Below are 16,730 nucleotides of genomic sequence, written 5' to 3' on the forward strand. Positions count from 1 at the left end.
AGGCTAATTATTGACCAAACTGAATCCAAATTTCCACCCAACTCTTTGAGTTGTTGGGTGCCATTTTTATTGGAAGGGAAAGGTGATGTGCATGAAAATGATCACCAAAAATAATTTTGTTCAACCCAACACTTATTTATTATTTGGAAAATGCAAGAGGCCAGCCTGGGCAATATAGCAAGACTCCATCTCTATAAAAAACTTTTGTTAAAAATAGCCGGGCATGGTGATGTGCACCTGTAGTCCCAGCTATGCTAGAGGCTGAGGTGGGAGGATAGCTTGGACTCAGGAGTTTGAGACCAGCCTGAGCAACATAGGGAGACCCCATTTCTACAAAAAAAAAATAATAAAAAATAGCCAGGCATGGTGGCACATGCTTTGTAGTCCCAGCTACTCAGGAGGCTGAGGTGGGAGGATCACTTGAGCCTGGGGAATTTGTGGCTGTAGTGAGCCATGATTGTTCTGCTATGCTCCAGCATGGGTGACAGACCAGGCCTTGTCTCAAAAAAAAAAAAAAAAAAAAGATTGCAAGGGAAATAGTAAGACAACATCAACTTGCCGGTTTAAGCCAGGTTCAGAAGAACAAACTAACATCTATTTGATTTGACATCTGAAAGTTAAACCAAGCCTGAGTCTTAGTAGATTGGTCAGCATAGCTGTCAGCCCCTCTGTTACCTGACTTTCAATGGTAGAAAAGGAACAACACACCTATTGTTGGCTAAAATTACATCATTACATAATTACACCTGACCCACAATTTATGCATAAGTGCATGCCTTCACAACCACATTTCTGTGAGTCAATATTGCAGGGGCCTTGGACAGTCTTACTCAAGAAATAGTTATTTTGTAAAATGCAAATTGTAAAAGTCTGTGTGTTTGGTTTACTTAAAGTATAGCTATCTGACTCTAGTTTCAAAAATTGTATATGTTATACAATATACAATATTCACTCAGCTGGAGAAAATATTCACTCAGCACACACGTAATGTATAGGTACCAAGTGTCAGACACATGCTCCCTGCCTGAGAACAGCCAGGGCCTAACAGAAGATGTGAATGTAAGTAATGACATTATGGAAAGATAATGCATCTTAAAAAGGTATAAAATAATATAAATACATAAAGTGAAGAGCTGTGTGTGTGCCTGGGGGATCTAGAACACTTGCCAGAGGATATGATGTTGGCACCAGTATACTATTATCAGTTTCCCAGATAAAGAAAAGTAGCTGTGAGTGTGCGTGCGTGCATGTATGTGGCTACTTTTCTTGCTATCACTGACACCTTCTGGTTTTTACACCCTAGATATTGATGAATGTGCCTCTGGTAAAGTCATCTGTCCCTACAATCGAAGATGTGTGAACACATTTGGAAGCTACTACTGCAAATGTCACATTGGTTTCGAACTGCAATATATCAGTGGACGATATGACTGTATAGGTAAGATTCGATGGCACCTTTTCCTTTTTTTCCTGTCCCCACCAAACCTTTGAGCCTTCTCTGCAGATATTTTGATGTCAATTCAAGCTATTAGTTGAACAATCTACTGTGCTGACCAGCTTAACAATAAGGAAAGGTTATTTTTTTAGGTGTCTGGCATTTAGGGAATTCCAATGACATCAATTATAAAGCTAGGTCAATAAAGATTTAAAGTAAGGAATACAGCTCTCTTGTGGAAACGATTATCTCAAGATGATTCTGGTGGGACTCTCTTTAATTTGGCTTTTTGTTTTGTTTATATTTTTTGTTTTATCTCCAGTTACACATCTAAAAATCAGAACAATAAAGCAGTATTTATATTTGGTAAAAGGAAGAATAACAAGGTCTATCTAATCTTGATCTCAGTGATCTGTTTATAACAGTCTCCATCAGGGGTGGCTTTAGAGAAATGTATGAGAGACATGAAGGCCTATGCTCTTTACTTTCCCCTCTTTCAGCCCTTTCATAGTTCAAGCTCCAAATATAATGTTCCCTTTCCACAGTTACCAAAATTGCTCTCTGATAAGATTCTGGTATCAGTCAGCTATTGCCCTAATCTATGTGAAATAAATATTTTATTCCTTAGTGAATGAATTTCAGGCCTCCATGAACAAGTGAGGTGGGGTATTTGGGGAGACCTTGGATGCATTCCCATTGCCCTTTATATAATGTAGGATGGGGCCTGCCCTATAGTGAAGGGAAATTCGGGCTCTCTGTGGATTTCTCTGCCCGTAACACGTGTAACAAAGCTATATGCATGACATGGAAGGCTAATAGTTGAGAAAAAATAGGATTTCTTTCAACCCTATACTCAGGGCTTCCCAGGACACGTCTTGTGTAATCATGTTGGGACAACACACAATTGCTGGGTTTCGAACCATCTTGTGAAGCCTCTACAACTCTTCCCTCAAATTTCAAACACAAAGTCCATCCTAGAGAGGATCATAAAATCCATATTTCTCGTGGACTTGGACCCCATGCCCTCCTGCAGACCAAACCAGCCCAGTAATCCTATGATGCTGTGTTACAGAGTTTAATCCTGTTTCCTGATACCTAAGGGGAGGTTCCACAGAACAGGGTGGAATTCACATGGAAAGGTTCAAAAGGAAACAAATCTTTGAGACTTTAAAGGTGACTAAGATTAACATCTGAGCTCAGCTTTGTGGCTAAATTAAAACCAACAGACTATTTTGTACATACATGTCTACAAATGCATAGATAGAAAATGGGGTGGAGAATACGGCAAACAAACCTCTCGCTTGGGTGAAACTTGGCAAATTTTCCTCCTCTAAACCCAGCAGACAAGCTCAGGCCAGCCTGACCCTTTCTCCTGGCAGTCTTAGAACAAAATGCCTGTGCCTATAAGTTAGATGATGTCAACGGTTCCTAGTTGATCTTGCCTTTGTTTGTTAGGAGTTTCAAGACCTTCTGAATATAGAATTGATTTTCTGGTATTGTTATTTAGTTCTAAGTTAGAGGAGAAAGTTAAGAGAAAAACCTAAACATCTTACAGATTTCAATAGCATTGATAAGCAGGAGATTAAATTGCTGTGGGGGAGGGAAGCAGCAAACACTCCCTACATACCAGGCAGCAAACAAAGCCAGGGCTGCTGGCCAATGAGCCTGCAGTTCTGAACACCTCTCAGTTCTCAGGCAATGCTTGGTTTGTCAGGGGTGTTTAGTGCTTGGCCCTACAGTTGATCAAGTGTAAGGGTGAGTCTTTCAGCAAGCTCTGTACCACAGAGTCGTTCACTGGAATGTTCTTTTTTAGATATAAATGAATGTACTATGGATAGCCATACGTGCAGCCACCATGCCAATTGCTTCAATACCCAAGGGTCCTTCAAGTGTAAATGCAAGCAGGGATATAAAGGCAATGGACTTCGGTGTTCTGGTAAGTAGCATTTGGTCATGGTGTCTTAGCTATTCCCAATGAAGCATTCTCCCCATATCTCCTTCCTCCCTCTATTTCTCTCCTTTCTTTGTCTTCCTCGCCTTCTCCCTCTCCCTTACTCTCACTCTGTGTGTGTGTGCAGTGTTTAACTCTCTGCCTCAGCCTTCTCTTCTTTGCTAATTGGACCACATCTCCAATACTCACTGAAGTTGTAGGCACTAAACTTAAAGAACAGCAAGGGTACTTAATATCTTTCTGGCCATGACATACTTCAAATACTGAACATAACATTTAAGGACAAAAGACACTGAGCAAATTTATCTATCAGGATAGACTGAGTTATGATGCAGTAACAAGCAAACCTAAAATAACAGTGGCTTAAAACCACAAAGGTTTTTTAACCAAGTGAATCCGGACGTTTTCCAGAATGCACAACCAAAACAAAGTAAGGCAAAGCTGATCTTCATTAAAGTATGATTACTTTATCTGTCATCCTCAACGCTGGATCCACTTGTTTTAATGTATATAGCAGAGAGTTCCATTGTTCTTGCTGGTGAATTATTTAATACTTTTTGTTAAAACTTTAAATTTATAAACCAGACATCTAACAATAAAATGTCACTGCTATTAATAACTACAGCAACAATAAAGGTTTATTTCTCACTCATGTAATATGTCCAAAGAGAATTTTTCAGGGGTTTCTTCTCAATAAAATCACTTAAGGACACAGGCTGACAGAGGCCCCATCATTTTATGGTACCATGGTCTCAATTCAAGGCCTTAAGGTTTGTCACAGCAGAGAAAGAAGCATGAACAATCATGCACCAGCTGTTAGTTTATTCAGCTTGGAAGTATCTAACTTCAAGGGACAAAAATAATATTAAACTTGCTGTGTGTCCCAAAAGAGAAGAAAACTAGAAATCTTGGTGAATACCAGGAATGTCTTCCAAGGCAAGGCAGCTATGATTACAGCACAATCACTTCCCTAACAATATCTTACAATGTTTAAAGTCATCCAGGTTCGGCTGGGCGTGGCGGCTCACACCTGTAATCCTAGCACTTTGGGAGGCCCAGGTGGGCAGATCACCTAAGGTCAGGAGTTCAAGACCAGCCTGGCCAACATCGTGAAACCCTGTCCCTACTAAAAATACAAAAAAATTAGCCGGGCATGGTGGTGCACGTCTCTAATCCCAACTACTCAGGAGGCTGAGGCACAAGAATTGCTTGAACCTGGGAGGCAGAGGTTTCAGTGAGCCGAGATCGCACCACTGCACTCCAGCCTGGGCAACAGAGTAAGACTCCATCTCAAAAAATTAAAAAATAAATAAATAAATAAAGTCATCCAGGTTTATCCCTCTGGTCATGACCCTTTTAGCACTAGCTCATAGTGTGACTAGACTTGTTGACTGCCCTGATTCAACTCTCTTATATACCCCTTAGCAGAGTTCCCGCATGTTCAATAAATATGGCTGCAAGGTGTACCCTAACTTACGTCACATTCCATACACCCATCTGGCCAATGCTCCCAATGATGCAAATGACTGTAACAGTATCTACTCAGTCATACAAAAATAAACTATATGTACCATGCTAGACATTCAGCGCCACACCCATAAAAGGTTCACAGTACCCCAGTGGGCTATTGTTGAGCACCACTGGACAAGAGTATGTATAAAAGAATATAACCAAAGAAAATGAGTCTGGAAATCAAATTCTGTGAAGAACTGCCAAAAGAACAGGGCAGCATTTAGTCTGGGAAATATAGTATGGAAAAGCATAAATTGTGCCTGTAAATACTTTAAGAAATATGAAATAAAAGTGGCTTTCTCAAGCAAACTAAGTCCAGTGGGTGGAGGTTACATTCTCTCTTAAAAATGGCTGCTAGGTATTGAAGAGTGGAGCAGGGAGCCCCATGGAGTAGGGACATTCCACTGCCCCTGGCTTGCAGGCTGGGGGCTCTGAGACGGATTCCTGCATTGGGCTGGAGATGGTATTAAATGACCACTTAGTGTCCAGCAACTGGATGCCATGGTTTCTATCCCTCTAGATAGAAGTATCCAATGATGTCCTTCTGAAACTTGATTCAGAGAGAGAGATTGGCTGCCCAGGCAGGGCTGTGCATAGGTAGGTTGGGGGGAAGGACACCATAACCTTGGGAGTTCCCCAGAGAGGAGACTGAATAAATCAGCTTTCCATATCGGATGAGTGCCCAAGGGACCTGTGCTCAAAGCTCCTTTATGCCACCAAATTTGAACATGCACATTCCAGGTTGGGAAGGCCTGAGTTTAAATCTTAGCTCTGCCCTATGCTGGCTGTGACCTTTAGCAAATTTCTTAACCTCTCTAAGCTCAGTTTCCTCCTGTTCAAAATGGGGTTTATGGTAGTACTGTGGTGGGTTCTTGTAATGGGCCAGTCCACAGTCCCTTGGAGCTCCCTAATCCTATTGAGGTAGGGTAGACAGTTGCATGCGTATCTCTAGCAGTGCTCTCTCTGACAGGAGTCTCCAGCTTCCACTTCACGGGGTGGGACAGTTCTGAGGTGTGTTCTGCACTGGCTCCCAGATGTCCCCAGCAGGACTGAGCCCCACTTACCCACAGAGATTACCTGTCCATCTAAGCACCATCTTTTGGCTTTTCTCCCTTCCTGTCTCACTGTCTCCTCTCCCCAGTTTCTGCCTCCTGGAATCACCTTCCAAGTAAGTCATCTGCACCCAAATCCTTGTCTCAGGCTCTGCTTAGAGGAACCCACACTAAGACAAATATGTCTCACAGAGGTTCATTGTGAGGTTTAAATGAGGTAATATAGAGAGAGAGCTTAGTTTAGCGGGACCATATAGTAGATGCTCATTAAAGTTCGCTGTGATTGTTATTGTTATTAGTATCATTTCAATCAGCTGTTTGTTAAGGGCCACCCACTCTGAAATTTCACAAAGGTAAATATGAAAATGTTGTGCATACAAAAAAAGACACCTCAGGAAAGCATTTGTTTCAATAAGTGGGCAACTCACCCCCACATACTCACTCTCCTACCCCTAGAGGGGAATCGAAGGCCCAGAGTAAACCTGGAGCCATCTTTCTTCCTCGTCATTTGATCCCCTTAAACCGCAATGTATTATTAATGTTCAAATGAAGGCAACATCTTTAAGCATGCAATTAGATAGTTGTTTGCAGCCTGTGTTTTCTATATTGTAACTCAGTGCTTTGAAATTGTAAATCCTACATCAACACAAACATTTCTTGTGTCAAGAAAATGTCTGTTTTTCTTGGACCATCCAACTTTATTTTGGGATAAAAGAAATTTGTCTTTATTCTTTGAAACCTCAAATTCATCACACTGTTCTATTCAATATCTGAAAATTATGCATTTTGTTATCCATTCTGCAGCTAAATTATTTCTTTAGTCTTTCACTGGAATGTTTATTTAAAGGAGAAAACTATCTTTGGGTCATTTACTATATTACTTGTCCAACCCTTTTCATTTTGCTTTAATTCTCTAATTCTCCATAAAATAAACAGCCATGTTACTATTGAAAATTCATCTTAACAAGGTCTTAACATTCATTGCTTAAAGAAGGATGCCTCAAAATCCACTCTTTTTTTTTTTAAATTTTTTTAGTATTTATTGATCATTCTTGGGTGTTTCTCGGAGAGGGGGATTTGGCAGGGTCATAGGATAATAGTGGAGGGAAGGTCAGCAGATAAACATGTGAACAAAGGTCTCTGGTTTTCCTAGGCAGAGGACCCTGCGGCCTTCCGCAGTGTTTGTGTCCCTGGGTACTTGAGATTAGGGAGTGGTGATGACTCTTAACGAGCATGCTGCCTTCAAGCATCTGTTTAACAAAGCACATCTTGCACCGCCCTTAATCCATTTAACCCTTAGTGGACACAGCACATGTTTCAGAGAGCACGGGGTTGGGGGTAAGGTTATAGATTAACAGCATCCCAAGGCAGAAGAATTTTTCTTAGTACAGAACAAAATGGAGTCTCCTATGTCTACTTCTTTCTACACAGACACAGTAACAATCTGATCTCTCTTTCTTTTCCCCACATTTCCCCCTTTTCTATTCGACAAAACCGCCATCGTCATCATGGCCCGTTCTCAATGAGCTGTTGGGTACACCTCCCAGACGGGGTGGCGGCCGGGCAGAGGGGCTCCTCACTTCCCAGACGGGGCGGCTGGGCAGAGGCACCCCCCACCTCCCAGACGGGGCGGCTGGCCGGGAGGGGGCTGCCCCCCACCTCCCGGACGGGGTGGCTAGCCGGGCCAAAATCCACGCTTATGTACATACAAGAGTCATAAAAACAAAAATGAGAGAATTGCATCTAGTTAGCATTCAGCATTATAAAACATTATAAAATGTTATATTACAAATACATTTGTATGCACATAAATTGTTATTATATAATCTAGGGCATAGGCCGGGCGCAGTAGCTCATGCCTGTAATCCTAGCACTTTGGAAGGCCGAGGCGGGTGGATTGCCTGAGCTCAGGGGTGCAAGACCAGCCTGGGCAACACGGTAAAACCCCGCCTCTACTAAAATACAAAAAATTAGCCAGGCATGGTGGTGTGCGCCTGTAGTCCCAGCTACTCGGGAGGCTGAGGTAGGAGAATTGCTTGAAGCCAGGAGGCAGAGATTGCAGTGAGCTGAGATCGTACCACTACACTCCAGCCTGGGCGACCGAGCGAGACTTCATCTCCATAAATATATACATATATATATATATATATATATGTCATATATATGGCATTGATGTAGCAACTTTTATTAAGTTCATTGTTTTGAAAATTTCAGACTCTACATTGCAATATGGAAAAAGAGTTAGATTATCCTAACCCATTCTCTGTACCTAAAGGAAGAAGCACCCTAAATGTAGATGTGTATATGTTCCACTGTTCTAATATGAGTATTAATAGTATACTGCCAGATAATTTGGTCTTGATTTGACAGCAGCTACACCTCATTCTAAGAAAATCAAAACCCAGATAACACTCAATTTGGGGAGTAACAGTCAACTTAGGAAAGGAAACTGTCATTGGCTTACGAGGAGCACAGCTTCTGGAATCGTATTACCTTAGCTTGATTCCTGACTTGCTAGCCTACTACCTGTGGAGTGAGAACAAATTATTCAACCTTTCAGTGCCTCAGTTTCCACACCTGCAAAATAGGGATGATAGTATCTAGCCCTTAATATTGTTTTGATGATTAAATTTATTCACACAGAATAAGTGAGCGTCCATCTAAAGAGCTTAGCACCAGCCCAGAATATATGAAATGTTCAATAAGTATGTGCTAGGAGTAGGAGTAATAGTGACAAAGCCCTCCTTACCAAAATTCAACAATCATTTCTGTTGAAAAGCAGCTTCTTTAGTCACTAAAAATATGCTGATTGCTTAATTCAGTTTGTAGGGTGTGTATTCAAGAATATGGGTTTTGCTACAACCAGGCCATCCCCATTTTTTTTCTTCAATTATAAACATTAGAAACTTGGAGGTATGGCCTGGGAATTTTTCTAACTCTGGAAAAGATTTTAAACATTCTGGTCATGAATGCTAAAAATAATAGCACACATGCTGAGTGTGTGCCAAGCACTAATCTTAGTAATCGATGTGTGTTCACCCATTTAAGCCTCCCAAAAAAATCTGTTCTTATCCCAATTTTATAAATGGAGAGACTGAGGCAAAGAGAAGTTAATTATTCATTTGAGGACATATGGCTAGAAGATGTGGGAGCTAGGAGTCAAACTCAGGAAAATGGGCTTCAGGATTATGTGCTTAAACACAGGACAGGTGTGTTCATGACCAATTGGTTGATCCTCTGTGATGGAGAACTCACAGAGTTTGCCCTCCTCAGCAAACTCTCTTGGCTCATCTTTTGTTCTGTCCTAGCCCCTTCCTGTTTCCTGGGTCCCATGCTGGAACACATTCTTCATCTGTGATTAAGCTTCTTCTTCCAGGACTGTGTCCAAAGCTCAGATTAGTAGAACTTTTCTCCTCCCAGATGATAGATCATCTAATGCACTAAGCACAGTTGAATGAATGTCAAAGTCATATTCCTCCTGGGTAAGATATTCTCACCTAAGAGTGATCTTCTATAAAGTTTTATTCCAAAGATATGAAATTAAAATTAGGGTTTTCAGGTTGATAGAAGTGTTTGACAACATGGGTGTTTGGAGAAATCTCAAATACCTCCCGAGAGAAATTGTCAACTTTACAAAAAACTGGCCTGTGAACCTGAAGACCTAAGTTTTATATCTGAGTTCCCCAAATGTGCCAAAGACCCTCCTACTGCAACTCCCTCCATATTTTTTTTTTTTTTTTGACATGGAGTCTCACTCTGTTGCCTAGGCTGGAGAGTAGTGGCATGATCTCAGCTCACTGCAACCTCTGCTTCCTGGGTTCAAGCAATTCTCCTGCCTCAGCCTCCTGAGTAGCTGGGATTACAGGCACCTGCCACCACTCCCAGCTAATTTTTGTATTTTTAGTAGAGACGGTGTTTCACGATGTATGTTGGCCAGGCTGGTCTCAAACACCTGACCTCAAGTGATCCGCCTGCCTTGGCCTCCCAAAGTGCTGGGATTACAGGCGTGAGCCACCATGCCTGGCCCCTCCCACATTTTTATATTCTCAAAAAGATGATGCAATAATCAATAAATCTTTAAGAGAAAACCGTCATAATGTCAAATTTGAAACAGCAATACCTAGATAAATCCAAATCTACTTATGCATATGCATATCATTAAAGTGCATTTTTATCCTTGCCCAGCTTTCTGTTTACATACTAAGAGAATGAAATTGTCAACACTATCAAGATTATGATGTTTTAGTTTTTGTTTCTTTTCAATAGGAACATTTGAAACTTCAAAGCAGAAACTGAAAGCAGATGTTTAGGTTTGCCTGGTGTGAGCTGAAACCCTTTCCTCATTATTTATTAAAGGTCTTTAGTTTTATGTTACTGATTGCAAAAAGGAAATTTGCAGGGAATAGGGGTTTCCTGTTAATTTTTCTTGCCAGGTGCTGGAGAAAGATGCAGTCGACCATGGATGGAATTACAGTGGGGCCTCCAGAGGAAGGTCTATATATGATCACACATTACGGTCATAACTTAACATGCAATCTCTGGCAAAGTAGCTGAAACAGGCTATCTGAAGGTCAGGAAAATGAGTAATGATGCATTACTTGTATTAGTGCTTGTTGGTTTTCTACCTATAGTCAGGCTGTCACAATGATAAATAACTAGAATATTTCATTGAAAAGAAAAATGTTGCTCTTTTGATTCCAAAGTAAAAGCAATTATTAATTAAGAGCATACATATTTTCAAAGCATTTTTCCCCCGTTTGGTTACCCCAAATATTGTGGACTTCTGCTTGTTTATTTTTCTACTACTTTGATATAGATTGAATCAGCCAAATGATGGAGAAGGAACAAAGCAGGAGAAGAGGTTAAAACATTGTTAAGAAAAATATTCTAATAAAATCCCACTCCAATTTTTTATAGTACTCTTTTTAGGCATCAAAATTAATGTCTACTCCATTGTTTCACTTCTCTCTAAACTATGTCCAAATAATAGAATTAAGTGAATTGATTGAGGTGTTATTAGACCCTTTCTTGCTTAGTCTTAGATTAGTACATGCCTAGATATTTTATAGTGAGACAATATATTTGATTTCAAATATCAGTGTATTTAATTTTTTAAAAATTAATTACTTCTTTACATCAGTTGGATATTCTGAATTATCATGAGTATATCCCTGAAAAGGAGACATATATCTTTGAATTATAGATCTCAAGGAATTTGAAACAGTCTAGAGAAAAGTAACCTTAATCTTAAAGCAGAAATAAATCTATCATAGAAATAGGACTGGAAAAAAGAGACATTCATGGCCAGGCATGGTGGCTCACACCTGTAATCCCAACACTTTGGGAGGCCGAGGTGGGTGGATCACCCGAGGTCAGGGGTTCGAGACTAGCCTGGCCAACATGGCGAAACCCCGTCTCTACTAAAAATACAAAAATTAGCCAGGTGTGGTGGCACGCACCTGTGATCCCAGATACTGGGGAGGCTGACGCAGGAGAATCACTGCAACCCAGGAGGGGGAGGTTGCAGTGAGCCGAGATCATGCCACTGCACTCCAGCCTGGGTGACAAGAGTGAAACTCTGTCTCAAAAAAAAAAAAAGAAAGAAAAGAAAAGAAAAATAGTCATTCATATGCTCTACTGCCAAATCTTAGCTCCGTCCCTAACATGATGAGTGCCTTTGGGCAAGTCACTTAACACCCAGTTGCCTCATCGACAAGACAAGAGTCCTGGACTAAATGAACTTTTTTGTACCTCTTGCGTTCTTCGACACCAACATTTTTCCTCCAAGGGTCATTAGTCCACTGAGGGATAAGAAGAATTGATCTAGAGGTACATTTTTTTTTTTTTTTTTTTTTGAGACGGAGTCTCGCTCTGTCGCCCAGGCCGGACTGCGGACTGCAGTGGCGCAATCTCGGCTCACTGCAAGCTCCGCTTCCCGGGTTCACGCCATTCTCCTGCCTCAGCCTCCCGAGTAGCTGGGACTACAGGCGCCCGCCACCGCGCCCGGCTAATTTTTTGTATTTTTAGTAGAGAGACTAGAGGTACATTTTTAAAGTAATTTACTTTTGTGGTGGGAAATAGAAAACGAATGAAAAATAGTAAGTATAGAAGCCTCTCTGAAATATTTAATAAATAAACTCATTTAGCTTTAGATAATGGTTGACTGAGGTGAAAAAATTCAAAGGGGAGAGAGAAGAGAGAAAGAAAATTGGGTATGTGTATATTGCACCATAAGTCACCATTTTTGTAGGTCACAAATGGTCCATTATTAGCAATTTATATGGTTCAACCTAATGCTGTAGCTGTAATTTTTGAATATCAAATTTGGACAAATCTATAGGGCTATCAGGACAATACCAGTTTTTGAAGAATACCACAATGAAAGCAGAAATATTAGACGAACATGGCAAATCCATGTCTTTGGGATCTGTAGCCCAACTGGGTAGTAATAAGTGTTTCACTAAAGTGGTCTCCGAAGCAAAACAAAAGCAACAAAAGGTAATTAAGATAACTACCATAACAGTGGAACTGCTTAAAACAATACAAATATAGTTCTTCCTAATTTATCATCAAATAGTAGAGCCTCATGTGGGTTCATTCTGGAAGCATTCACTTACTACACTTTAACACTTTTTAAATGCTCCATTTTGTGAGTAATTTAATTATCTTCCAATTTGGAACATATTGCCTCTTATTTGTTTTAGCTATCCCTGAAAATTCTGTGAAGGAAGTCCTCAGAGCACCTGGTACCATCAAAGACAGAATCAAGAAGTTGCTTGCTCACAAAAACAGCATGAAAAAGAAGGCAAAAATTAAAAATGTTACCCCAGAACCCACCAGGACTCCTACCCCTAAGGTGAACTTGCAGCCCTTCAACTATGAAGAGATAGTTTCCAGAGGCGGGAACTCTCATGGAGGTAAAAAAGGGAATGAAGAGAAAATGAAAGAGGGGCTTGAGGATGAGAAAAGAGAAGAGAAAGCCCTGAAGAATGACATAGAGGAGCGAAGCCTGCGAGGAGATGTGTTTTGTGAGTGTTATTTTTATTTTATATGTTTTATGAAAAATGAATTGCAATTTCTCCTGGCAAATGAAAGAAGACAAAAAGCCGGTTTCACAGCTTAAGTAAAATGGGTTGGGTCTTAAGTCCTGAGAAGCAACATTCTCTGTAATGTCTAGAAACGAATACCTTCTGCAAATACCCAATCAAACCTGCTGCTCTAGGAACCAAGGAGGGGAAGTCCTGTTCCCCTACTTGGGGGGTTTCCTATTTGACACAGACCTTCTCTTCTAGCTTCCAGCCAAGGAAGCCTGCTAGTCCTGCAAGGGCAGTGGTTTGGCTGCCCAGCTCTCCATGAGGCATGCCCCCAAATCAAAGAGAGGCTCACCACATGGATCTGCTAAGCTCTACCTTTTTATTTCTTGAAGGCACTTTTACAGGCCTAGTCTATGAAAATGGAACCTCACAGTTGTATGGTTGTGATTTTAAAAGCCAAAATCGACAAATGTAGGAGGACAAATTTTATAGTGGAGCTTAAGTTTTCTATGTGAACTAGAGAACTGCCGTAACTCCCTTTTCACTAGTTGCTGTGCAGAACCCACCATAAGGCTCAGTCCCCCCAGGAGGGTTTCCATATTAACCCACCCTGCATCTCTACACTGAGACTTTCCCATTCATTCTGGCTGGGCATTTGTTGCTCCCTCTATATTTTGCCTTATCTAGTCTCGGCTCTGTGACTGGTGGTCATATATACAAATGCCAGATGGATTTAACCAAAGGAAAAGTAGACACAGGCCCACCCGTCCAAGAACTAGCATCCGGTGACATTCTCTGCCTTAATAGAGAGTGAAAAATCTCAAAAAAAGAAAAAAAAAAACATATTTCCAAAACCTAGTATGAAGGGATGTATCAAGAGTGTAGATGCTTAGTTTACCCAAGGAAATGTCTGGAAAAGATGTTTTAGATGAGGAAACTGGATCCAATGTGAATTATTTGGAAATGTTAGGGAAACACTGCTCTAATATATTCTGTAATTAGAATACATGATCTAACCTTCTTTGTTTGGTCATTTGATTGATACCTTCTGAGCATGTGGGCTTTAAGGTTTTTTTCTTAACTGACCAAGTGTTCTTTATTAGTCCCTAAGGTGAATGAAGCAGGTGAATTCGGCCTGATTCTGGTCCAAAGGAAAGCGCTAACTTCCAAACTGGAACATAAAGGTAAATAATTCTTTCTCCCAAGTGTATGCTCTTTCATGTTGTCCTGGTCGTTTTCATTTCTTCATACAGTGAAATGATTGTTTATGAATCCCTGCTTCATTCGTAAACCCCCAAGGGAAAAATCATTACATCACACACACAGTGCCAGTATTAAAATAGTAGGTCCTTGTGTGACTGGTACTAATGATTGAAATATAGTAAGGCTATTCTCTTCTCCCCGCCACTCCCACCTGATGCTGAGAGTGAATGGTTGAAGCAGACTGTATATATGGAGATGGGAGAAACTTACATATTTTCTTCAACTCTACTGCCTGAGGACCCACAACCTGAAAGTCCTCATGTACTAAATTTGGCCCAAAGTGCCTGTATCAGTTACCTATTGCCATAATAATGCTGTGTAACAAACAACCACAAGCCCTCAGTGGCCTACAGCAATAAATATTTATTTTTGCTTATGAGTCTATGGGTTGGCTGGACGGTTCTGCTGCCCTGAGCTAGGCTGGGTGGGCTCACTCATGTGTCCACATACAGTCAGTTGTGGGCCTGCTTCGTGATGTTGCTGATCTTGGCTGTGCTTTCTTACATGCCTGAGGCCTCAGTTGGGAGGATTGGACTCACTCAGCTCTGCTCCATGTGGTCTCTCATCCTCCAGCAGGCTAGTCCAAGCTGTTTCTCATGAGGCAACAGCAGGGTTTCAGGAAAGAGAGCAGCAGCACACAAGATATTTTGAGGTCTAGGCCCAGAAATGGCACAACATCACTTCTGCCATATTCCATTGGCCAAGCCAAGTCACAAGGCCAGCGTAGACTTCAAGGTTGTGGAAGGAGCTGTGAAGTCATACAAAGAGTGTGGATACAGAGAGGGATAAAAATCAGGACCATTTTTGCGATCATTCCACCAAAGCCTCATAATCTGGAGTTTCTTAGGCATGATCCCTAATTCCTCTTGGTTTATTTAGAACGTTCACCACTCATGACAAATTACACAGACCTCAGGGAAAAGCCCATTTATATATTTATCCCTTTCACTTGGTATAAGTATGAATGCCTTGATCATCTCTTTCCTTTTCAAAGTTTCTTTCACTTACCACTATACATGTGGTAAGTAAAAGATTAGCATAACCTTTTCCTTTTCAAACTTCCTTTTACTTACCACTATACATGTGGTAAGTAAAAGATTAGCATAACCTTGTGCTAATTGATTCCCTTTTGTGTTTACCCTGTGAGTGCATTGCCCAGTTCTATCACTTTGGTTTACAGGACCATCTCTACCGCAAAAAAAAATGTACCTCTCTAATTCAGTCCTCCAAATTGTATCTGAGAAGCTTCTACTAAAACTCTTCAAAGCCTAGTAACCTATGACCCAACTCCTACAGGCATTTTGTTTTCTTCCATATTTCTCCTAAGTATTCTATGTTTTTGTTTCTCTGCATTAGACAACTTATTGCCCATTTTCCTGGTTAGAAAGAAAATGTTTCATTGTACAGGGGGTAAGCTACGTTCTCCAGGTGCTCACAAGTTCTGCCCAAGCTCTGTCTACCCTTGATAAGTGACATGAAGGAATCCGTTGACTCCTCTTTCGATCCCCAAACCACCAGATTTCTTAGTTTACTTTCTATTCCATGATTCCTAATGAAACACAGAAAGGTTAAAATTTTGCACATGACCATATGACCCTGTAATTTCAACAGTCCTTGAGTAAGTTGTCTTGGAAAGCTCAGTCCCAATCAGAAGATTCAGATGCATACTGCAACTCTTCCACTGGTTGTTTGCCTTGGACAAGTCACTTGGATTTGCAGTGCCTCCTTGCTTTCATACATAAAATTGGAATAAGAGCAATATTCATCTCTTAGGTGCTGTCTTAGGCTGGGTTCCCCAGAAATAGACCCCAAGATAAGAATTTGTGTGCAAGTGGTTTATGTGGAAGATGATCCCAGGAAATGGTGGTTGGGGGTGTGCATAAGTGAGATGGGGAGACAAGGAGGCAATAATGGGTATGTTATCAGGCAAGTTTCCACTGTGGGCAACTGGAGCTCAATCCCATTGGGGAACTCCAGAAGCCAGTGTAGAACACATGGCTCATAATTATCCTACTGAAGGAGTAAGGAGGCTGGGGCATATATATACCAACTCCCATCTGGCATTGATTGAAGGCTGCTCCCAGGAGGGTGCTGATTCCTTGGTGCTCCTGGCCTGGCATGAAAGCAAGGAAGGGCACCACTGGGGCAACTTGATCTCAATCCCACTTGGACCCTCGACAAGACAGGGGAAGCCTGAATTCCAAACTGACTTTAGTCCACATTCAATTCCAGCACTTAGTGGTCCTTTCCAAAGGCAAGGAAATGGAGGTATCTATCCAACAACTCCTGTCCATCACTGGTTGAGGGCTGTCCCTGGGAAAATAACTTCCCAGCATTCTAGCTCACCTGGTTGGGCCAAGAATGCTCCAGCCAGAGAACACCCTCACACAGAGAGCTGTGAGTGTTTCCAGTAGAAAGCCAAATGCCTGCAAGAGAATATAAGTACTGACAGATATTTGTGTGGCACCAAGAGCATCTGCTTC

At 41.2% G+C, this 16,730-nt stretch overlaps 1 protein-coding gene across 2 annotated transcripts in view, besides 2 other annotated features; it reads left to right on the top strand.

The window, feature by feature from the left end:
- EGFL6 (EGF like domain multiple 6) overlaps positions 1–16,730 on the top strand; it is a 63,975-nt gene that overhangs the window by 35,475 nt on the left and 11,770 nt on the right. For both annotated transcript variants that reach the window (NM_001167890.2, NM_015507.4), the window contains exons 6-9: positions 1,304–1,438; positions 3,249–3,371; positions 12,655–12,978; positions 14,088–14,168. In NM_001167890.2, the coding sequence (NP_001161362.1) occupies positions 1,304–1,438; positions 3,249–3,371; positions 12,655–12,978; positions 14,088–14,168 (663 nt within the window). The remainder of the gene's footprint in view (positions 1–1,303; positions 1,439–3,248; positions 3,372–12,654; positions 12,979–14,087; positions 14,169–16,730) is intronic.
- Positions 6,920–7,472: an enhancer, noted in NCBI's record as "NANOG-H3K27ac-H3K4me1 hESC enhancer chrX:13630114-13630666 (GRCh37/hg19 assembly coordinates)". NCBI's record gives its function as "activates a minimal SCP1, AML or CMV promoter by ChIP-STARR-seq in naive H9 embryonic stem cells {active_cell/tissue: H9 hESC(naive)}" and the evidence as "EXISTENCE:reporter gene assay evidence [ECO:0000049][PMID:30033119]".
- Positions 15,075–15,593: an enhancer, noted in NCBI's record as "NANOG hESC enhancer chrX:13638269-13638787 (GRCh37/hg19 assembly coordinates)". NCBI's record gives its function as "activates a minimal SCP1, AML or CMV promoter by ChIP-STARR-seq in naive H9 embryonic stem cells {active_cell/tissue: H9 hESC(naive)}" and the evidence as "EXISTENCE:reporter gene assay evidence [ECO:0000049][PMID:30033119]".

Source organism: Homo sapiens, chromosome X (assembly GCF_000001405.40).
Source record: "Homo sapiens chromosome X, GRCh38.p14 Primary Assembly".
In the NCBI taxonomy this organism is placed as follows: Eukaryota; Metazoa; Chordata; class Mammalia; order Primates; family Hominidae; genus Homo; species Homo sapiens.